Raw genomic sequence first — 22,842 nt, 5'->3', positions numbered from 1 at the left:
TCCCATAGGTTTTAATTTTCTTTTTTTTTTTTTTTCTTGAGATGGACTTTCGCTCTTGTTGTTCAGGCTGGAGTGCAATGGCACGATCTCTGCTCACTGCAACCTCCACCCTCCCGGGTTCAAGCAATTCTCCTGTCTCAGCCTCCCAAGTAGGTGGGATTACAAGCATGCGCCACCATGCCCGGCTAATTTTGTATTTTTTTTTTTTTAGTAGAGATGGGGTTTCTCCACGTTGGTCAGGCTGGTCTCAAACTCCCAACCTCAGGCGATCTGCCCGCCTCAGCCTCCCAAAGTGCTGGGATTACAGGCGTGAGCCACCGCGCCCAGCCAGTTTTAATTTTCAATAGAGACAACTATGTTTAACCTCAATATTAAACTTAATCCAAATCTCAGTGGGAGTGTGAGATATCCCCATTTTCACATATTGATTAACTCAAATGTACAGAAGCAGATAGCCACTAAGATAAAACTGGGTAATGGCGCTTTTATTTGAATTTCAGCCCATTTTAGAATGAAGTTCTGAAAATCAACATATCTGAAAACCACAATTATTTGAGTATGGACACTTTTTAGAAGTGTTCATACTATAGATAGAGAAAAAAAACAGGTAAAAATCCAAATCATTTTGAACATACCTGATATGGATGGAGGCACAAGAGATGGATAACATCCAAGTGATTGGAATTTGAATATTTTCGTCTATTTTAATCATTAGCTTAGCAGAATGTTTGTTTTTTTTTTCTTTCCAAGGTTGAGAGAGGAAATAATAGTTTCTGATTCTGGGTTATTTTCGCTTTTGCTACCAGTCTTGAAAAATAAGGGGAAACTGGCTAAGCATTACCTGTCCCCTGTACATTTTCAGAAATGAGCTCCCCAGGGTCTGAGAATTGAGATGCTTTCTTCCTGTTGAGTGGTTTTTCCTCATGCCTCTCTCAGTGATTGGCTGTGGAGGAGCGCTCCAGAATCCTAGATTCCAGGCTAACATTTTAACCACCTAACTTTGGTAGGACCCAGTCCCTCACAAAAGAGCTTGCATCACTGAGAAGCAGCGTAGGAAGTCCTAACTCTTCCAACACTTAATTTTGGATAAACAAGAGCTCTTTTATTGGATAGGCTAGAGGCATCACAAAGCAAATTTTGTAAAATGTGAGACCCAGATTTTTGCTCTAAGTCACCTGGATCTGGCCTACTAACCTTATTTACAGAACTTCCCAACATTCATCTCCTTCCTGAAGAGGATAAGAACATTTACTCCTCTGGCAACTCTCTCCCACCTGAGAACACAGGGCCTTTGATCCCCTTGCTACTCACATTTAGACATTCTGAAATCCCTTTCTGATGCCAAGGATGATGTTCCTAATTCTACTATCACTAGCCTAGAATACCACTCTCAAGCCACTGCCCCTCTGCAAAAGGATTGGCCCAGAAATCTACACATTTTCTCACTACATGAAACTTAATTATGCAGTACCTTAGTCAGGATCAAATAGCTCTATCTAGTTTTGGTGTCTTTAGCAAATATGATACAGCAGAAGCCTGAACCCAGGGTTACAACAAATCAACACATATGCATCTTTCATGATCATATGATTCTATATTCTAGAATACATCCTACAATGATAAAAATTCTTAGAATCTGGAGGAACAGGGAACAAAGACTATGACCTCATAAGCTTCTATTCATCTCAGTTCCAGTGACTATACCAGCATTGCCTCGTTTGAAAAATAAGGTCATTTCGGCCAAATCCAAATGTGGTTTCCAGAAAAGAGTGACTTAGGGTATCCAAATACATAGGTCCCTTCACAGAGGAGCAAATGGATATATAGGTGATTAATTCCAATGTAATAGTTTCTTTATATTTATGAAAATGTATATATATACATGCACATGTATCTTTAAAATGTCATTAGTACATATATGTTTGTTAATAAATATTTCTTCTGTCCTAAATTATAATTGTGGATGATATAAATACTAGAAATTAAAAATTATGATGGTAATTTGGTAAAGGCCTATTTTTCAGCAATCTGAACTGGAAAGGCTGTATTTCCATGGTTCATGTTTCTAGGGGCAGCTATCCTAAGGAAGAGGGGAGCATATTATTAAACTAATCTATTTCTCAGGGTATTAGTTTTCTAGGGTTGCTATAACAAAAGTGCCACAAATTGAGTGGCTTAACCAACAGAAATTTATTATCTCACAATTCTGGAGGCTAGAGGTCCAATATAGAGGTATTGACAGTGTTAGTTCCTTCTGAGGGCTGAGAGAAACAATCTGTTCTATGCCTCTTCCCTAACTTCTGGTGGTTTGGGGGCAATCTTTGGTGGTCCTTGGCTTGTAGATGCATCACTCTGATCTCTGCCTTCATCTTTGCTAGTGGTACTGAACAGTGTGTGTTTCTATGTCCAAATTTCCACTTTTAATAAGGACATCATTGACACTGGATAAGGTCTCACTCTAATGACCTCATCTTAACTTGATTACATCTGCAATGACCCTATTTCCAATGAAGGTCACTTTTTTTTTCTTTTTTTTTTTTTTAGACGGAGTCTCACTCTGTCACCCAGGCTGGAGTGCAGTGGCATGATCTCGGCTCACTGCAACCTCCACCTCCCTGGTTCAAGCAATTCCCCTGTCTCAGCCTCCTGAGTAGCTGGGACTACAGGTGCGTGCCACCACGCCTGGCTAATTTTTTTGTATTTTTAGTAAAGACGGGGTTTTACCATGGTGGCCAGACTGGTCTCAAACTCCTGACCTCAGGAAATCCACCCGCCTTGGCCTCCCAAAGTGCTGGGATTACAAGGCGTGAGCCACTGCGCCCGGCTAACTTTTGTATTTTTAGTAGAGGTGGGGTTTCACCATGTTGGCCGGGCTGGTCTTGAACTCGTGACCTCAAGTTATCCATCTGCCTCGGCTTCCCAAAGTGCTGGGATTACAGGCGTGAGCCACCGCACCCGGCCTGAAGGTCACATTTTGAGGTAATGGGGATTAGGACTTCAACATATAAATTTTGGGGGAAACAATTTGTATTATGGTTCCCCAGAGAAACAGAACAAATATGGTATATAAAAACATATGTTATCTGGGGAACCCTAAAGCAAATTGTTTCTCCCTAAATTCGTGTGTGGATGTGTGTGTGTGTGTGTGTGTGTGTGTGTGTGTATTATAAGCTAAATAGCCAGATAGCTGGTAAAACATTTCTGGGTGCGTCTGTTACGTCTGAGGATGCTTAGAGAAAAGATTAGCATTTGAATTTATAGAATAAGGCAAAGAAGATTACCCTCACCAATAAGGTGGCCATCATCCAATCCCTTGAAGGCTTGAACAAAGAGACAGAAGAAAGGTGAATTCACTCTCCCTGTTTGAGCTGAGACATCTATATTCTTCTGCCTTTGATTATCAGTGCTCTTACTCTTGGACTGGGACCAGGATTGATACCATTGGCTCTGTGGGTTTTCAGGCTTTTGGGCTTGGACTGAATCACAACACCAGCTTTCCTAGTTCATCAGCTTGCAGACAGCAGATTGTGGGACTTTTCAACTTCCGTAATTGCATAAGCCAATTTCTATAATAAATCTCTCTACATGTATGTGTGTGTGTATGTTTATATGTACTTGTGTGTGTATGTGTATATATATGTGTGTGTGTGTGTGTGTGTGTGTGTGTCCAGATGCTTCTCAACTTACAAAGGGGCTATATACCAATAAACCCATCATAAAATTGAAAATATCATAAGTCAAAAATCCATTTAATACTCCAATGAACTATCATAAAGTTAAGAAATCATAAGGCAAACAATCGTTAAGTCCAGATGTTTCTTGACTTATGGTGTTACGTCCCAATAAACCTATCTTAACATCAAAAAATCGTAAGTCAAAACATTGTAACTTGGAGATCATCTGTATATGTGTGTGTATGTGTGTATGTGTATATACACACACACACAATAGGATATATAAAAATATCCTATATATAGGGGTATTTTATATATATCTCCTATATATATGGCTATTTCATATGTGTATATGTGTGTGTGCATGAAATTAAAATGAAATATTAAATATCCCACTGGTTCTCTTTCTCTGGGGAACCCTGACTAATACAGGAGGTTAGGTCTGAGAAGTGGGGCAGGGCCTTGTGGATTGCAAGGTGTAAGAACTTTGACTTTTACAGCTTGAGTGAAAAAAATCATGGGAGAATTTTGAGCAAAGTACTTTTTAAAAGAATTATTCTAGCTACTGGGTTGAGAATAAAAAAAGTAAACTAATAAATTAATAGAAGTCAAGTAGGTGGTGCCATATTACACATACTGGGTGAGGCATATACATATAATAACTCATTTAATGTACTCCAGAGAGGGAGGCAAAAGTCAAAGTAGGGAGACCTGTTTTGGGTGTTCTTTTCTTGTTGTTGTTTTATTGATTTACAAAAGTTCCTTACATATTCTAGGCATCGCCTATTTTTTGGTGGCTATATGGGTTGCAGATATCTTCTTCCCGTCTGTGTTGTTTTACAATTTAAGTTGTGTCTCTTGTTATTCAGAAGTATAGAATATTAATGTAGTCAAATTCACCAACCTTTTTTTTGATAGATTTTATTTCATTTTTTCATAGATGTTTGTATTGGGTCATACTGCTCACAGTCCTGCCACATGCAGACTCCTTCTTCACACTGCCCATGATGTGGCATCTAAACATAAATCTCAATCCTGGTGCTTCCTGTTTAGAACCCTTAGAGAACTGCCTGTGGCTCTGTGACCCTCATCATTTAGCCTCCTGTAGGTCTACTGGCTCTAGGATACTGTGATAACAGCCACGTATATGTATAAAAGGCACACTTTATGTTATTGTGCTTTGCTATATTGTTTTACTTCGCAGATATTTTGCAAATTTAAAGTTTGTGGCAACTATGTATCAAGCAAGTCTATTAGCACCATTTTTTCCAACAGCATGTACTCACTTCATGCTTCTGTGTCACGTTTTGGTAACTCTTGAAATATTTCAAACTTCTTCCTTATCTATTATGGTGATCTGTAATTACTGATCTTTGATGTTAGTGTTATTAAGTGTCTTAGAGTTCAACAAACCACACCCATATAAGACAACAAACTTAAATGTTATTTGTGTTCTGGTTGCTCCACCGACTGGCTGTTCCCCATCTCTCTCCTTCTGCTCTAGCCTTCCTATTCCCTGAGATACAACAATGTTGAAATTAGGCCAGTTAATAATGCTGCAATGGCCTTTAAGTGTTCATGTGAAAGGAAGAGTCACAAATCTCTCACTTTAAAACAAAAGTTAGAAACGATTAAGCTTAGTGAGGGAGGCATGTTGAAAGCTAAGATGGGCCAAAAAGTAGGCCTCTTGCACCAGTTAGCCAAGCTGTGAATACAAAGAAAAAGTTCTTGAAGAAAATTAAAAGTGCTACTCTGTTAACACACGAATGATAAAAAGGCAAAACAGGCCAGGCGCGGTGGCTCACACCTGTAACCCCAGCACATTCAGAGACCGAGGTGGGCGGATCACCTGAGGTCAGGAGTTCTAGGCCAGCCTGACCAACATGGTGAAACCCTGTCTCTACTAAAAATACAAAAAAAAATTAGCTGGGAGTGGTGTGCCTGCCTGTAATCCTAGTTACTCAGGAGGCTGAGGCAGGAGAAATGCTTGAACCAGGGAGGCAAAGGTTGCAGTGAGGCGAGATCGTGCTGCTGCACTCCAGCCTGGGCAACAGAGAGAAAACTCTGACTCAAAAAAAAAAAAAAAAGAAAGAAAGAAAGAAAAGAAAAAGAAAAACAGCCTTATTGCTGATATGGAGAAAGTTTTAGTGACCTGGATAGACCAGGCCATCCACAACATTCCCTTAAGCCAAAACCTAATCCAGAGCAAGGCCCTGACTCTCTTCAGCACTATGAAGCCTAAGAGAGGTAAAAAAAGCTGCAGAAGAAAACTCTGAAGCTGTTAGAAATTGGTTCATGAGGTTTAAGGAAAGAAGCCATTTTCGTAACATAAAAGTGCAAGGTGAAGCAGCAAGTGCTGATGTAGAAGCTGCAGCAAGATCCAGAAGATCTAGCTAAGATCACTGATGGAGATAACCACAGGAAACAATAGATTTTTAAAAATGTAGATGAAACAGCCTTCTATGGGAAAAAGATGCTATCTAAGACTTTCAAAGCTAGAGAGGACAAGTCAACACCTGGCTTCAAAGCTTCAAAAGACAGGCTAACTCTCTTGTTACAGGCTTATGCAGCTGTTGAAGCCCATGCTCACTTACCATCCTGAAAATCCTAGGACCCTGAAGAATGATGCTAAATCTAGTCTGCCTGTGTTCTATAAATGGAACAACAAAGTCTGGGCTAAGAAAAAAGAAGATTTCTTTCAAAATATTACTGCTCATTGAAAATGTACCTGGTCACTCAAGAGCCCTGAGGATGAAGATGTACAAAGAGATTAACATTGTTTTCACGCACAACATGCTGCAGTCATCATTCTGCAGTCCACGAGTCAAGGAGTAATGTCCACTTTCAAGTCTTATTTAAAAAAATACATTTTATAAGGCTATAGTTACCATAAATACCGATTCCTCTGACAGATCTGGGTAACATAAATTGAAAACCTTCTTGAAAGAACTGACCACACTAGATGCTATTAAAAAGATTTGGTGATTCATGGGCCAGGTGCGGTGGCCACGCTTGTAATCCTAGCACTTTGGAAGGCTGAGGTGGGTGGATCATGAGGTCAGGAGTTCAAGACCAGCCCGGCCAAGACGGTGAAACCCCGTCTCTACTAAGAATACAAAAATTAGCCGGGTGCGGTGGCAGATGCCTGTAATTCCAGCTACTCGGGAGGCTGAGGCAGGAGAATTGCTTGAACTGGGGCAGCAGAGGTTGCAGTGAGCCAAGATCATGCCACTGCACTCCAGCCTGGGCAATAGAGACTCTGTCTCAAAAAAAAAATTGGTGATTCATGCAAGGAGGTCAAAATATCAATATTAACAGGAGTTTAGCAAAAGTTGATTCCAACTCACATGGATGACTTTGAGGGGTTGAAGATCAGTGGAAAAAGCCATTGCAAATGTGAGGAAAACAGCAAGAGAACCAGAATTAGAAGTAGAGCTTGAAGATGTGACTGAACTGCTGCAATCTCATGATAAAACTTGATCAGATGATGAGTTGCTTCTTGAATGAACAAAGAAAGTGGTTTCTTGAGATGGAATCTACTCCTGGTGAAGATACTGTGAATATTGTTTAAATGACAACAAAGTCTTTATAATATTTTATAAATTTGGTTGATAAAGCAGCAGCAGAATTGAGAGGACTGATTCCAATTTTGAGAGTTCTTCTGTGAGACAAGTGTTATCAAACAGTGCCTTCTGCTACTGACAAATCTTTTGTGAAAAATTTCTGCAAAAAGGAAGCTGGGATTTTGATAGGAATTGTGATGAAACGCTACATCAACTTGAGTATTGCCATCTGACCAATATTGACTTCAAATCATTAAATAAGAAATGTCTATTTATTTAGATCTTTAGTATTTCCAACAATATTTAATACTTTTCAGTGTACAAGTGTTACACTTATTTTGTTAGATTTATTTCTTTTTGATGCTATGGTAAATAGAATTGTTTTCTTAATTTATTTTCAGATTATTCATTGCTATAATAGACTAGAGCATATTTTTGTATATTGATTGCTATGGACTATGTCCCCCAGATTTCATATATTACAGCTCTAAACCTCAATAAAATGGTATTTGGAGATGGAATCTTTGGGAGATAATTAGGTTTAGATGAGGTCATGATGGTAACAGTGGCCTTATAAAAAGGGACACCAGAGATCTTGCTCTCCACCCTGACCCAACCCCAAGCACACACGAAAAGAGGTAAATATGAGCATACCATGAGAGGGTAACCAGTATAAGCCAAAAGAAAAAGCCTCAGAATGAAATCTGTCTTGCTGGCTTTGGTCTTAAACTTATCAGCCTTCAGAACTGTGAGAAATACATTTCTGTTGTTTAAGCCACCTCATCCATAGTATTTTGTTATGGCAGCCTGAGCTGACCCTGATAGATCACGTATAATGTAACTTTGCTGAAGTTATTTGTTTTAATTGTATGTATGTGTGTATTCCTTAATAATCCTATATAAAAGATTATGCAACTGTGAATAGAGATAGTTTTACTTTTTCCTGTCTCTTCTGGATGACTTTTATTCATTTTATTTTCTTGCCTAATTCCCTTAGCTAATATTTCCAATATATTGTTGGATAGAAGTGGTGAGAGTGGAAAAATATTTGTCTTGTGAATGATCTTAGCAGAAAAGAATTGCCTTTCACTCTTAAGTATGATGTTGTGGGGTTTTTCTAAGCATCTTTATCAGGTTGAAAAATTTCTCTTCTTTTCCCAGCTTGTTGTGTGCTTTTATCATGAAAGCATGTTGAAATTTGTCCAATGCTTTTTCTGCATCTATTAAAATTATCATATAGTTTTTGTCCTGTATTCAATGGTACATTAGATTAATTGATTTGGGGATGTTAAACCAACTTTGTATTTTTGAAATAAATATCATTTATTTGTGGTGTATAATTTTTTTTTCATATGCTACTGAATTTGGTTTGCTAGTACTTTTCTGAGTATTTTGTGTTTATTAATAAGGGATATTGGCCTGAAGTTTTATTTTCTTTTTTCTTTCCTTTTTTTTTTTTTTTTTTGTGAGACGGAATCTTGCTCTGTCACCCAGGCTAGAGTGCAATGGCCCAATCTTGGCTCACTGCAACCTCTGCCTCCTGAGTTTGAGTGATTCTCCTGTCTCAGCCTCCAGAGTAGCTGAGATTACAGGCACACACCACAAGGCCTGGCTAATTTTTGTATTTTTAGTAGAGAGAAGGTTTTGTCATGTTGGCCAGGCTGTCTCAAACCCTTGACCTCAGGTGATCCTCCTGCCTCAGCTTCCCAAAGTGCTGGGATTACAGGCATGAGCCACCAGGCCCAGCCGAAGTTTTCTTTTCTTGTTGATTTCTTTGTCTGGTTGGAATCAGAGTCCACACCTGGCTGAAGTTTTTGTTTCTTGTTGATTTCTTTGTCTGGTTGGAATCAGAGTAATACTTGCCTTATAGAATTAGTTGTTAATTGTTTCCTCCTCTTCTATATTTTGGAATAGTTTCTTAAGTGTTATTCTTTAATTGTTCAGTGGAATTTACCAGCGAAGCCATCTGGACCTGTGCTTTTCCTTCTGGATAGGTTTTTTTTTTTTTCTTGCTAATTCAATTTCTTTAATTATGTTAGATCTAGTCAGATTTTTCTTTATGCCTTCTTGAGTTGATTTAGGTAGTTTGTGTTTTTCTAGGAATCTGGCCATTTTATCTACTTTATCTTTTTTAAGCATAGTTGTTCATAGTATTCCTTCTTATTCCTGTTTATTTCAGCAAGGCTATTAGTGATGGTTCTTTTATTCTTGCTTGTATTAAATCTTCTCTCTTTTTTTTCTTAGTTTCACTAAAGGTTTGCCAATTTTGTTGATCCTTTTAGGGAACCAATTCCTGGTTTCATTGATTTTCTTTATTGATATTCTGTCTCCTTCTTTTCTAATCTTTAATATTTCCTTTCTTCTGTTTGCTTTTGGTTTAGCTTTCATTTTTTCTAGTCTCATGCCTCTAATGAAAGGCCTCATCTCTTCCAACTCATTCTCTTCAACTGTTGCCTAAGTTGTTTGTATATCTGAAACATAAATTTGATGGTGTCACTTAGAAGCTTAAAAGTCTTCTCATTGTTCCCATTCCTTAAAAAGTAAAATTCAAATTTTGTATAATGGCAAACAACACCTTTCATAATCTTAACCAGTTTACCTTAACAATCAAACCCACCTTTCCAATCACATAAAATCACCTGGAATTTATATATACATTTTTAACCTCTTTTCCTTTGTACTTGTGTTTTCTCAATTTGTTCTTTTCTCCTACTGACTTTTTAGAAAGTCACCCACGCTTTTTAGTTATTTCCTTTTCCCTGGTACCATCACACTTTGCATCAACTTCTTTTAGAACAGTTACCAAATTATTTATTAATACACGCCTTCTTCATTATTCTTTGAATTCCAGGATGTGAAATCCCATTTTAGAAATTATGTCCCAGTAACTGACACATAGTGAGTGGTCAGTGTTTGTGGAGGTAGGAAAAAGTGGTATGGTCTGATATCATTTCATCTGGAAATAAGATGATGTATTTCAGCCAGTGAAATCGAAAAGAGCGATGGAAAATGACCTCACACTCCATAGGGCTTTGGTTCGTAAGACACAGAGAATACTGATATCCTTGTGCGAAGAACTAACTTGCTGTTGAGAGATCAATTCAGAGGATGCTCAAGCTCCGTTATCACTTTCATTTTACTAAACTGAGAAAGGAAGGTTGAGGAATGCATCAACGGTTAAGCACAGTGCAGGTTCCTACAGCGACTGGAGTTTTTTGGTAGTTGGGAGTGTTTCCCTCAATCTTTGGGCAAGCCGTCAGCAGTGGCAGGAACAGGAACAGACAGCTGGGAAACCCTTTCTTTCCCCAATCGTCTTCTAGCTTAGCTTTAGGCTTGTATGCCCATCGCGCATGCGTCAATTTTTCTCTTTTAAGATGGGCGGGGCAGAGTCTTTGCTCCTTTGGCGATCCTGAAGGGGTGGAGCTAAGCTGTTTCCAGGGTGACAGAGTGGCGACCTCGGTGGTCGATTGAGCAGGTCTGAGAATTGTTCCCAAAGGGTTGTGCGTCACCGAGTCGTTGGCGCTGTCATGGCGGGTGTGCTGAAGAAGGTGAGACGAATGGAGGTCACTGTTGGAATTTAGACTGTGGGGGTAGACTCAGTCCGATAGCCCTACTTCCCGCGGGTGTTGACCCCTACTGTCGCGGGCTCGGCGGTGCTTTTCGGGGACTCGTTCTGCATGCCTTACCGGGTAGGGCAGGTTAGTGGTTCCGCTCCGAGAGTCAGGAAAAAAGCTCCAAACAAGCGAGACTGAGAGACCAGTAGCTGGCTTTAGACCAGTTTTAGCCGGGGGATTCGTGGTTTTGTATTTCCTTAGCGTGCTGGATGTATGGAAACCGTAGTAAACAGCATGAATCGTGTTTTGTTTTTGAACAGACCACTGGCCTTGTGGGATTGGCTGTGTGCAATACTCCTCACGAGGTATGTACCTTTGTTCTTTCTTCGTTCTTGAATTCCCAAGGAAGACTAAATTCCTGTCACTTTGCTTATTGCAGGGTTAACGGGATACAGATGTTTCAAGCCCTTAATTACAAGCCGCGTGAGCTCTTGAGACACGGGCGCTGTCCACCTACTTCGTTGATCCGATGTCACATTTTTATTTATTTTTGCCATGACCTCTTTATTAAGCCAGTTTTCTTGTTGACTTTTTCCTTGACATTTTCATGGCTTCACTTGTGCTTGCTTCTGTCAGCGCCATCTCAAATTTATATCTCCGTTTTCCATCTTTTCTCCTTGCCTTACCGTTTCTGCTTAGGTGCGTTGGATTACATATATTTAGGCTTACTAAAGGTACTGCCCCCTTTTCCTTCTGTTAGGTCTTTTCCATCTGTATTCACGAATGTTTTCATCAAAAAAACCCACAAAATTTTTTTATTCTTCTTGTCCCTTCTATAATCACACCATTTCTTTGCTTCACTTTACAGATAACTCAAAAGAGTTATCTCTATTTTCTCCAATTTCTTTCTTATTCACCCTTGAATGCACTCAGTCACCCTTGGCGTTTTTCAAGTTCACCAATTATCTCCATGCTGCCAAATCCAATGGTCAGCTCATATTTCTCACCTTCATTGACCTAATAGCAGCGTTTTTTGACACATTTGACACTTTTTCCATCACGCTCTTTTCAAGTTCACCAGTTATCTCCATGTTGCCAAATCCAATGGTCAGCTTATGTTTCTCACCTTCATTGACCTAATAGCAGCGTTTTTTTTTTTTTGACACATTTGACACTTTTTCCATCATGCGCTTTCTTTACTGGGCTTCAGGACTCCCCCAGTCTCCTGATTTTTTCCCCCTACTCTTTGGCTTTCTCTTTTTCTGGTTATTTCTCTTATGCCCACTTTTAAAATTTGAGTTAGTCAGGATTTAGTTCTTGGACCTTTTCTTTTGGACCTGTACTCTGTCACCAAGAGAGAGCAAATCCAAATAGAGAACGGTTTTAAATACCACCTATACACTGACAACAGATTTCCATGTAAAGCACTGACCTCTTCCTTTATAAAAGTCCTGAATATTTAATTGCTTAGTGGGCATCTCTATTTGTATGTGTCAGACAGGCAACCCAAACTTAACATGTCCAAAATGGGGTTCCTGATCTTCTGCCTAAAACCTGCTCTTCTCTCAGTCTTGCTCATCTCAATTAATGGCAGCTCAATTATTTTGACTCAGGTCAGAAACTTGAAATCATCTTTGATTCCTTCCTTTCTCTTACACTCCACATTTGTTATTTCAGTAAACCCTCTAGGTTCCACCTTCAAAATATATCTTGATTTTGACAACATCTCACTACCTCCTCTGCTACTACCCTCTTCCTCAGTCACCATCATCACTGATGTGGATAATTGCATTCACTTCTTAACTGCCTCTCAATGCTTGTCACAGCCTCCATTTGGTCTTTTTTTCCAGCCAGGCTACTAGAGTTAGTCTGTTAAAATATGAGGTAGGTCAGATCTCTCCTTTCCTTAAAACTAATGGCTTTCCATTTCACTCTAAATAAAGACAAGTTTCTTACTGTGACCCTCTGGTTCACTATTCTACTGATTTATTTTGTTATGTCTCTACTAGAATGTAGGTTTCATGAAGGCAGGGATTTGTAATTGTTTCACTGCTAGAACTCTGTCACATAGTATGTGCTCAGTAAATAGTGTTAGTTGAATGAGTGTCTTGCACTTCCTATGATTTCATAATAACTTTATTGTCATTGATGTAAAGAACTGAACTCATGGTTTTTCCCTTCTAAATATATTTCTTCCTCTGTGGGCTGTATTTTTCTTGATAGTTTCAGATCTTTCTACTCCCTAGGCTGGGAATTTGGACATCATAGTTGGTATTTCTCTTATACTTGTACTCTCATATTCATTCCAATGATGATTTTTATTTTTATTTTTTTTGCTGATCCTTTTCTATAACAGCTCTCCAGTCTGACTTCTGTTTACTATTTCTATTGTTACTACCATAGTTCAGGTCCTTGTTCTTGTTTAGAGAATTGCAACAACCTCCTTACTGGCCTTTCTGCCTTGTTTCTCCTTCAGTCCTTTTAACTCACTACAATGAAGCTAATTTTCCTAATCTAATCATATGATTTTCCTAAATCTTTTAATTGTCCACAGAATAAAGCCCGAATGCTTTAACTTGGAATGCAGAACCACTTATAATGTGACATTTTCTCTAACTTTATCTCCTATGCATTTCCTTATGTGTCCTGTACAGCAGTATATTCCAAAATCCCCAGTGGATGTCTGAAAACCACATATAGTACCAAACTGTATATATGCTATGTTTTGTTTCATACATACCTATAATAAAGTTTAATTTATGAATTAGGCACAATAAGAGATAAGCAGGCTGGACGTGCTGGCTCACGCCTGTAATCCCAGCACTTTGGGAGGCTGAGGCGGGTGGATTGCTTTAGCCCAGGAGTTTAAGACCAGCCTGGCCAACATGGCAAAACCCCGTCTCTACAAAAAATGTGGAAATTAATCAGGTGTGGTGGTGTGCACCTAGTCCCAGCTACTCGGGAGGCAGAGGCAGCAGGATTGCTTGAGCCCCAGAGGTTGAGGCTGCAGTGAGCTGTGATGATGCCATTACACTCTAGCCTGGGTGATGGAGTGAGACCCTGTCTCAAAAAAGAAAAAAAAAAAAAAGAGATAACAACTAATAAAATAGAACAATTATAACAATATACTGTAATAAAAGTTATGTGAATGTGGTCTCTTTGTCTCAAAATATCTTACTGTACTGTACCACCCTCTTGTGATGAAGAAAGGATAGAGTGGGATAGTGTGAGATTTCACCACACTACTTTGAACGGCACATAGTTTAAAACTTATAAATTGTTTATTTCTGGAATTTTTCATTTAATATTTTCTGACTGAGGTTGACTATTAGTAACTGAAACCTTGGAAAATGAAACCACGGATGGGTAAAGGGGAGCTACTGTATTCTAACCAAGTGCTGGCCATTAAAAACATAATGCGAGCCTTAAATGTAAGCCATATTTGTATGTAATTTAAAATTTTCTAGGACTAATTTTTTAATGAAGAAAAAGGTAAAATTTAATTATTTTATTTACCCTAACAAATCTAAAATATTGCCATTTCAGTATATAATAAAAAAATTAATGGTATTTTATAGTGTTTTTCTTCATACTAAATTTTCCAACTCTGGTATGTATTTATACTTATAACACATCTCAGTTTGGACTAGCCACATATCAAATGCTCAGTAGCCATATTTAGCTAGCATCTACTGTTTTAGACAGCACAGTTCAAGAAAATAGAACTATATACCACTTCCTTATGTTTGCTGTATTTTCTGCCATTCAGTTCTATGTATTCTGTATGTAATTGCCTTTTCCAATATCATTTAAGTTTCTATGATCTACCATCCCTCTGGGTCTATCTTAGATGCCACCTTTTTGAAATATGAATGCTTCTCTGGTCTCAGCTGAAGTGAATTCTTCTTCTGCTATAGAAAAATAATGCTAATACTTAGTGAAACTTAATGTGTACCAGGTACTGTTCTAAGTTGTATATACCCTATGAGGCAGTATTATTCCCATCTTACAGATGAGGGATGAAGGCACAGAGATGGAAATAACTTGTCCAGTGCACCTAAGGAGTGGAGCCAGTGTAAACTCAAGCAGTTATGTTCTGGTTAGCACACCCTTAACCGTTGCTAAGTATTATAATATCTCTTTGCTCTATGTATTTCCCCATCCCTGCCAAACACACACTTATTTTTTCTTTTTATCATTTTTATTATTTTTCCTCTTCTGTAGCTTACCCTGTGATATGGTTTAGCTCTGTCCCCATCCAAATCTCATCTTGAATTGTAGCTCCCATAATCCCCATGTGTCGTGGGAGAGGAACCTGGTGGGAGGTAATTGAATCATGGGGTGGGTTTTTCCCATGCTGTTCTTGTGATAGTGAAGAAGTCTCGTGAGATCTGATGGTTTTATAAAGGGCAGGTCCCCTGCACATGCTCTCTTGCTTCCTGCCATGTAAGACAAGCCTTTGCCCCTCTTTCATCTTCTGCCATGATTGTGAGGCCTCTCCAGCCATGTGGAACTGTAAGTTCATTAAACTTCTTTTCCTTTATAAATCACCCAGTCTCAGGTATGTCTCTATTAGCAGCATGAGAACAGATAAGTACACTCGATAGTACCTTAAACATATTGGAGTGTGATCCATGTCCAGTCTATCTTTATACGCAAACAGTGTGGTATTGTACATGGAAGTACTGAGTATATTTTTTCGCGGGTAGCGACTGTCTGGGGCTGGTGTTGCGTGGTGGTAAAAATAATTTACCAAGACATTTGAGGTAAAGAAAGGCAGATTTATTAGAGAAAGTATGAAAATACATTGCAAGAAAGCTATTGGCAAGTCAGCAAAAGAGGAGCTGAATGCAAGTAGCAAAGGCTTGCTGGGGATCTTAAAGGATGGTGCTTGTGCTGTGGGCTGAAGAGAGCTTTGTGCAGTACTGATAACACCTAGGTTGCAATGAGCTATCAGGCGAGGGTCTGATGATAGCTGGGCACAGGAAGATTGTGAGTTATTTGTGGAGGAGGACTGTGTGTCCTGGACCATGAAGAAAGGTGGACTTCTAGCTTATCTGCTTTTTTATTTTTGCTTTACCCTGTTCCCTTATTAGGACTGCACACAATTTTTTTTTTTTTTTTTTTTTTTTAGTTATACTTTAAGTTCTGGGGTACATGTGCAGAACGTGCAGGTTTGTTACATAGGTATACACGTGCCATGGTGGTTTGCCGCACCCATCAACCCGTCATCTACATTAGGTATTTCTCCTAATGCTATCCCTCCCCTGGCCCCCCACCCACTGACAGGCCCCAGTGTGTGATGTTCCCCTCCCTGTGTCCATGTGTTCTCATTGTTCAACTCTCACTTATGAGTGAGAACATGTGATGTTTGGTTTTCTGTTCTTGTGTTAGTTTGCTGAGAATGATGGTTTCCAGCTTCATCCATTTCCCTGCAAAGGATATGAGCTCATCCTTTTTTATGGCTGCATAGTATTCCATGTTGTATATGTGTCATATTTTCTTTATCCAGTCTATCACTGGGCATTTGGGTTGGTTCCAAGTCTTTGCTATTATGAATAGTGAGGACTGCACACATTTTTTTTTTTTAATTGAAAAAAAAGGTTGCTCTTTAGGAGAAGGGTTTGTATACTTGTAATTATTGAGACTTACTCCTGGAGTGATCATGTCTTGTTTGTTTCAACTGTTCTGGTTCATACCTGTGTTTTGGCGTAATGATTAATAGGTATCTTTTCACTGTTATAAGTGTCCAAGTTTGGATGATAAACTAAGTGTCCACCCTATTGATAACATTTTTTCTTTTATTCTATATTAATAGTCCCCTGTTCTCATCTGTATTTCTCTAGACACTGATACATTTTTGTCAGGAAAGATGAAAATTTAAAACCTGAATTTTAGATCATATTAAAACTTAATTAAAATGCTATATTAAAAACTAATATATGCATTATATATTTAAATTGGAGAGGATCAACTTCTTACTGATTTCTATACTGAAGTTTAAGTTCAGTGTGCTTCAGTACATGCTATGCATTGACTCAATTCTCTTGCTACTTTTTCGGTTGAGCCTTTTATGCAGACTTTATGTCGTAACTCATTCATAATCAGAAGCAAGAACACTGAAGTATTATGACCGTATTTAGTTAAATTTGATCATACAGATGTAATGATTATATGTGTTTATTTCTACAGAAATTCAAATAAGAAAAATTAAAAAAAAAAATTTGCAGTGCTTCGGACCTCACTTTGAAAAATACTGATTCAGGCTGGGTGGGCTCACGCCTGTAATCCCAGCACTTTGGGAGGCTGAGGTGGGCGGATCACCTGAAGTCAGGAGTTTGAGACCATCCTGGCCAACATGGCAAAACCCTGTCTCTACTAAAAATAGAAAAAATAGCCAGGTATGGTGGCGGGTACCTGTAATCCCAGCTACTTGGGAGGCTGAGGCAGGAGAATCACTTGACCCCAGGAGGTGGAGGTTGTAGTGAGCCAAGTTCACGCCATTGTACTCCAGCCTGGGCTATAAGAGCGAAACTCCGTTTCAAAAAAAAAAAAAAGAAAGAAAGAAAAATACTGATTTAGTAAATGACTTGATTTCCAAAAAGGTCATTAGCAATAAGTTGTTTTGTTTCTGACCAGTCTGGCCAACATGGCAAAACCCCGTCTCTACCAAAAATTAGCCAGGCGTGGTGGCGGCCACCTGTAATCCTAGCTACTGTGGAGGCAGAGGCAGGAGAATCGCTTGAACCTGGGAGGTGGAGGTTGCAATGAGCCAAGATCATGCCATTGTACTCCAGCCTGGGCAACAAGTGAAACTTCGTCTCAAAAGAAAGAAAGAAAGAAAAATACTGATTTGGTAAATGATTCGATTTCCCAAAAGGTCCTTAGCAATAAGTTAGTTTTGTTTCTACTTGTTATCATACCTTTGACTTATCTAGAACTTGTTATACACAGAAAATACAGAATGTTCCCATGTTTATATACAGGTTTTTCCTAAGTTATAAAGGGTGTAGATAGGGCACAGACATAAAGAAGTCAGAGCAAAGAAGAGTTAAATTAAAAAAAAAAAGCAAAAAAAAAAAACAGATGTGAGTTTTGTTTGTTTTGTCTTTGAGACAAGTGTTCCATTAAGTCTTTGGTAATATTTTAACCTATGGAAATTTGTATGGTTTGTCTTTTCAGAGGCTAAGAATATTGTACACAAAGATTCTTGATGTTCTTGAGGAAATCCCTAAAAATGCAGCATATAGAAAGTATACAGAACAGATTACAAATGAGAAGCTGGCTATGGTTAAAGCGGTAAGTAGCTAAGTCAGTTTTGTTGTCTTGTGTAACATTTAACCAAAAAAGTTTAGTTCCTTATTTTTTATATATTCGACACACTTTTCTTCTATTCTCCTTCCTTGAATGCTCTTTTCCCATCATTCCTCCCTTTTATTCAGCAAACTCTTGTTTATTGAGTGTTTTCTATATGCAGGCCTCTGTTACATACTGGAGTTTGAGACTAGGATCAGATCCTTCCTTGAAGTAACATTGTAGCTGTTCCTTTTACCTCTCTTCACTATTTAGTCCTTTATTGATCTTTTGCTTTTTATCTTGGATATATCAATCTTGATCTCCTTTTTCTAATCTTAGAGAACAATAAAAGCAAAACAAAAAAGGGCATTTTTTTTTCAAAGAAACCTGTCAAAAAGACTAGACTGTTATTAAGTAGCAGTTAATAAAAGTCTAGACTGCTGATTCATACCAAACTATATTGTACTATTGTTAAATTTTCACACTAGCAATCATTAAATGGACTTTATGTAATTATCTAAAATAGTGCTTAGAAACTCTGAAGGTAATTTATATACATGCATAAGTGATCCTAGTCACATATATTTCTTCTTATTAGATTACCAGACTATATAGTTCAAAGAGAATTCCTATCTTTCGTTAGGTATGCAACAAAACAATGCAGTTTGTATTATATCGTATTTTGTATTGTATTATATGATGGGTCTCACTCTGTTACCCAGTCTAGAGTGCAGTGGCACGATCACAGCTCACTGCAGCCTTGACCTGCCAGTCTCAAGCAATCCTCCTACCTCAGCCTCCCAAGTAGCTGAGACCACAGGCACTCACCATCATGCCCAGCTAATTTTTAAAATTTTTTGTAGAGGCGGAGTTTCACTGTGTTGCCCTAGCTGATCTCAAGCTCCTGGCTTCAAGTGACCTTCCTGCCTTAGCCTTCCAAAGTGCTGGGATCACAGGCATGAGCTACCTGCACCCGGTGCCTCACCTATTTTATCATCATCTTTCAAATAGCCTCAAATGTTTTTAGCTTGTTCCTATCTTAAAAATAAAAAAAACTGTATGCTTGTATTTTCCTTTACTTATTGTCCTATTTTTGTTTTCTCCCATAGCCAGTTTCAACCAAAGAAGAGTTTACTCTCATACTTCTTTACTTACTGGTTCCAAAATCCTTTTCTCTGCTATTTAAACTGCCTTATAACTAATTGATCTGTTTGTACTTCCATTATACTTCATTACATGCTCCACCATACAGCCAATAATAGACTGATTTTTTTTTCAATATGTAAATCTTGTGATGGTACAGTTGTCCCTTGGTATCCATGAGGGATTGGTTCCAGGATTCCCATGGATGCCAAAATACAAGGATGCTCAAGTCCCTTATATAAAATGGCATAGTATTTGCATATAACCTATGCACATCCTCTTGTATACTTTAAATCATCTCTAGGTTACTTATAATACTACAATGTAATGCTGTGTAAGTAGTTATACTGTATTTTAAAAATTGCTGTATTGTTATTTTTATTGTGTTTTTTTGAATATTTTCCATCTGTGGTTGGTTGAATCCATTCTTAGTTGAATCCACAGATGCAGATCCTGAGGGCCAACTGTGCTGTCTTGCTTAAAATCTTACTGTGGTTTTCTGTTCAGTGTTTCTCAAAGGCTGAGTTTAAGGATTTATGTTGAGCTGGTTGTATGAAGCTTGCTTAGCTACCTTTATCTGCATGATTTTGATGTGTGGCCATGTTTGGGAACCACTGGCCTAACAGGGTAAAAACATGGTATAGAAGGCCTTCTAAGTTCTGGCTCTTGGTTATTTTCTCAATCTGATCCTGTTGCTTCCTGTTTTATACTCTATACTTAAGCAGTACCAAACTGCTGGCAGTTCTGTGGATTCCTTGCATTTTTATTTTTGTGTTCATTTGTATTTTCTCATTTCCTGGAATGCCTTTACGTTGTTTGGTAGTTCTTACTTTTTCTTCATAAATCATCACTTCTTCTGTGAAACCTTTTCTTACTTTCTTAAGTAGAGTTTGACAACTTTGTTACCTCCTTTCCATTGTACCTTCATGCTGTATTATGTCTCCACCAGCCATAAGCTACTTGTTAATGATATTGGATTCAACTTTGTATCCTTAGACTCTAGCATGGTACCTGGAACATAAGGTTCCTTAGAAATGTGTCTTTATCCCAAAGGCTAGATATAACCCCAAACACTTAACAGTTGTATCTCTGATTCCTGTTTTTGGTAAAATTATCACAGATTTTTAACCCTGCATACAGCCACACACAAAATCTTTAGTGAATATTGCCATTATTATAAAATATCTATTTACTAAGCCTAAGGTGGAAATAAAAGTAACTTTTTTTTTCAGATTATTACTAGGGAGATAGTACTATTTTGGTGAAAAGCGTTGTTTGTGTCCCTGTCCAAGATTTTCATCTTAGTTCTAATACTTATTTGTGGAGTGACTTGGCATATTGCTAGTTTTCTCGGTCTCAATTTCATCATCTATAACGTGGGTATAATAATACCCACCTCGAACACTTTTTGTTAGAACCGAATGAGGTAATGCACGTAAAAGCTTAACATAGTCCCAAGTATATAGTGAGCATTCAGTACATGGTACCTTATCAAGTTTAATAGCATTATGCCATTGGTGACTAAAAATCACATTATTCACTATCGGTAAGACAAATTTTGAACTGTTCACCTAACACAGGCTTTTTCTGAAATGAAAGTGTCGTTGAACTTTCCTTGCCTTCTTTACCTTCACTCTCCTGAGTCTCTTATAACAGTGACCAGCTTCCCTGTTTTGTTTTTGATTTTTGGTCTCTCATATGAGTTAATTCCCTGTTAAATAATCTGTCTTAAACATGCTTATTACTTTTTCCCCTTTTCTCCCCCTTTCAGCTGTTTTTTATGTATTCACTTCTTTAACCAAGAAACATTTATTGAATGCCATGTATGGTTCTAGGCATGGAAACTTGTGCCTAGTTGGCACAAAACAGATAAAAATCCTTTCCTTCTTGGAGATTACATGTTAGTGATGGGAGACCAAAAGAAAAAAAAAAAGTAAAAACTGAGTAAAGACGTACATAGTGTGTTAGAAAATAGTAAGTGCAGTGAAGGAAAATAAAACAAGGAAAATGTGTGCCATGGTGGGGATAGGGGATGTTACACTATGTATTAATTTCGTATGGCTGCTGTAATATTCCCACAAACTTGGTGGCTTAAAACAATGTAAGTTTATTTTATTAGACTTCTGGAGGCCAGAAGTTGGAAATCAACATCAGGGACCCAAATCAAGATGGTGTTGTCAGGGCTGTGCTTCCTTTGGAGGATATTGGGTAGAATCTGTTCTTGCCTCTTTCAGCTTCTGGTGGCTTTTGGCATTTATTGGCTTGTGGTCTCATCACTGCAATTTCTGCCTTTGTGGTTACATTACCTTTTCCTTTTCTGTGTGTAATATCCCTCTGCCTCTCTCTTATAAGGACACTTATAATTGCAGTTAGGGACTATATGGATAATTCAGGAAAATCTCCCCATGTCAGCATCCTTAACTTGATCATATATGTGAAGTCTTTGCTGTATAAAGTAACACTCACAGTTTCTAGAAATTAATACATGTATATCTTTTGTGGTATTTTTCAGCCTATCATAATGCAAATTATCAGTAGTTAATCAATAAGAAGGTGTTATTTGAGCAAAGATTTGAAAAGTGGTGAAGAAACAAGTGATGCAGATACCCTGGGCCATCCAGCAAGATACCCTGAGGCAGTAACATATCACGTCTTGTGTTGAAAAGCAAAATGTATTATTTTCTCCCTCTTTATTCCATTTATTGGCCAGAAAAACACCCTGAAAAGACAAAGCCTTATTTACATATGTGGGTATATTTACAGAGCATGATTTCTGGCTCAAAAAGCTCAGTTTACTAGAAAATAACTAAATGTCATTGAATGTTCTAGGTACTATATTTATTAACATTTTGTTCTTAAAAACTTCTATTAAATAATTATATACATTACAAATGTGTAGAAAAAAAGGACTTTTCCAGAACAACAAAACCCTTGCCTCTTCCCCTTCAATTTACTACTTGTAAAGTTAATCTCTATTTGGACTTCTTTTTGCCTGTTTTTGAATTTTATATAAATGAAATCATTAGTATGTACTGTCTTATACATACTGTACTCTGGCTTGTGCTTAATACTGTGGTTAAGAGAATCACCTATATTGTTGCATACAGTTTATTCATTTTCATTGCTGTGAAGTATTATATCCAAATATTATAATTAATTGATCCATTCTATTACAGATGATCATTTGGGTTATTTCTAGTTTGGGGCTATAATTTGTGCTGCTGTGAATATTCTCAAACATGTTTTTTAAAAAATATATTATGCATTTCTGTTTGGCATTATGCCTAGAAGTGTAATTTCTGGGTCATAGAGTAGCATTTATTTCTAATTCTAATGCTCTCAGAGGAAATACAGGAAATATTAAGAAAGCAAAGTCATATTTTAAAATCTGTTTTAGGAAGACTGAATTTGACATTGTATTTCTGTCCCTTGATCAGCATGTCAATAAACATTTAGCACTTTTCAATATTAAGACAGAAAAGCAATGAAATAGCAGAGGTGAAATGAATTTTCACCAAATATTTAGTAAAAAGAGTATGATGAAAGAAAAGTTGTATTTTTAAGTGTTTTTATATAGGAATTTTAAAATATATAGGATATTGAAACATTCAG

The 22,842-nt window shown here is 37.8% G+C and overlaps 2 protein-coding genes across 13 annotated transcripts in view, besides 6 other annotated features; one reads left to right on the top strand and one right to left on the bottom strand.

Annotated features, from left to right (window-relative positions):
- The window catches only part of ASB15 (ankyrin repeat and SOCS box containing 15), a 72,474-nt gene extending 70,922 nt beyond the window's left edge, over window positions 1-1,552 (bottom strand). Inside the window, exon 1 of one of the 2 annotated variants that reach the window (XM_011515819.3) lies at window positions 1,472-1,552. The gene's annotated coding sequence lies outside the window, so the exon portion shown is untranslated. Of the gene's footprint in view, window positions 1-1,194; window positions 1,217-1,471 lie in introns of those variants that run through there. The other variant, XM_017011757.2, reaches the window with a different exon arrangement.
- The window catches only part of NDUFA5 (NADH:ubiquinone oxidoreductase subunit A5), a 64,655-nt gene that overhangs the window by 33,092 nt on the left and 8,721 nt on the right, over window positions 1-22,842 (top strand). Inside the window, exons 1-4 of one of the 11 annotated variants that reach the window (NR_104169.3) lie at window positions 10,742-10,785; window positions 11,112-11,156; window positions 17,974-18,090; window positions 21,743-21,902. Coding sequence is in view for 7 of the 11 variants with exons in the window: in NM_005000.5 (NP_004991.1) it covers window positions 10,765-10,785; window positions 11,112-11,156; window positions 17,974-18,090 (183 nt within the window). In the remaining 4 variants the exon portion in view is untranslated. Of the gene's footprint in view, window positions 1-10,741; window positions 10,936-11,111; window positions 11,157-11,240; window positions 17,193-17,973; window positions 18,091-21,742; window positions 21,903-22,842 lie in introns of those variants that run through there. The other 10 variants (NR_104168.3, NR_111925.2, NM_005000.5 and 7 more) reach the window with 10 other exon arrangements.
- Window positions 10,265-10,404: an enhancer, noted in NCBI's record as "active region_26569". NCBI's record gives its function as "activates an Ori minimal core promoter by ATAC-STARR-seq in GM12878 lymphoblastoid cells {active_cell/tissue: GM12878}" and the evidence as "EXISTENCE:reporter gene assay evidence [ECO:0000049][PMID:35858748]".
- Window positions 10,265-11,612: a biological region, named in NCBI's record as "BRD4-independent group 4 enhancer GRCh37_chr7:123197145-123198344".
- Window positions 10,270-11,469: an enhancer, noted in NCBI's record as "BRD4-independent group 4 enhancer chr7:123197145-123198344 (GRCh37/hg19 assembly coordinates)". NCBI's record gives its function as "activates an origin of replication core promoter dependent on BRD2, P300/CBP, MED14 and CDK7 cofactors, and independent of BRD4, by STARR-seq in HCT116 cells {active_cell/tissue: HCT116}" and the evidence as "EXISTENCE:reporter gene assay evidence [ECO:0000049][PMID:35650434]".
- Window positions 10,455-11,033: an enhancer, noted in NCBI's record as "H3K27ac hESC enhancer chr7:123197581-123198159 (GRCh37/hg19 assembly coordinates)". NCBI's record gives its function as "activates a minimal SCP1, AML or CMV promoter by ChIP-STARR-seq in primed H9 embryonic stem cells {active_cell/tissue: H9 hESC(primed)}" and the evidence as "EXISTENCE:reporter gene assay evidence [ECO:0000049][PMID:30033119]".
- Window positions 10,665-10,714: an enhancer, noted in NCBI's record as "active region_26568". NCBI's record gives its function as "activates an Ori minimal core promoter by ATAC-STARR-seq in GM12878 lymphoblastoid cells {active_cell/tissue: GM12878}" and the evidence as "EXISTENCE:reporter gene assay evidence [ECO:0000049][PMID:35858748]".
- Window positions 11,034-11,612: an enhancer, noted in NCBI's record as "H3K27ac hESC enhancer chr7:123197002-123197580 (GRCh37/hg19 assembly coordinates)". NCBI's record gives its function as "activates a minimal SCP1, AML or CMV promoter by ChIP-STARR-seq in naive and primed H9 embryonic stem cells {active_cell/tissue: H9 hESC(naive and primed)}" and the evidence as "EXISTENCE:reporter gene assay evidence [ECO:0000049][PMID:30033119]".

This window comes from Homo sapiens, chromosome 7, assembly GCF_000001405.40.
Source record: "Homo sapiens chromosome 7, GRCh38.p14 Primary Assembly".
NCBI lineage: Eukaryota > Metazoa > Chordata > Mammalia > Primates > Hominidae > Homo > Homo sapiens.
This window is presented reverse-complemented; position numbering and strand designations above follow the sequence as displayed.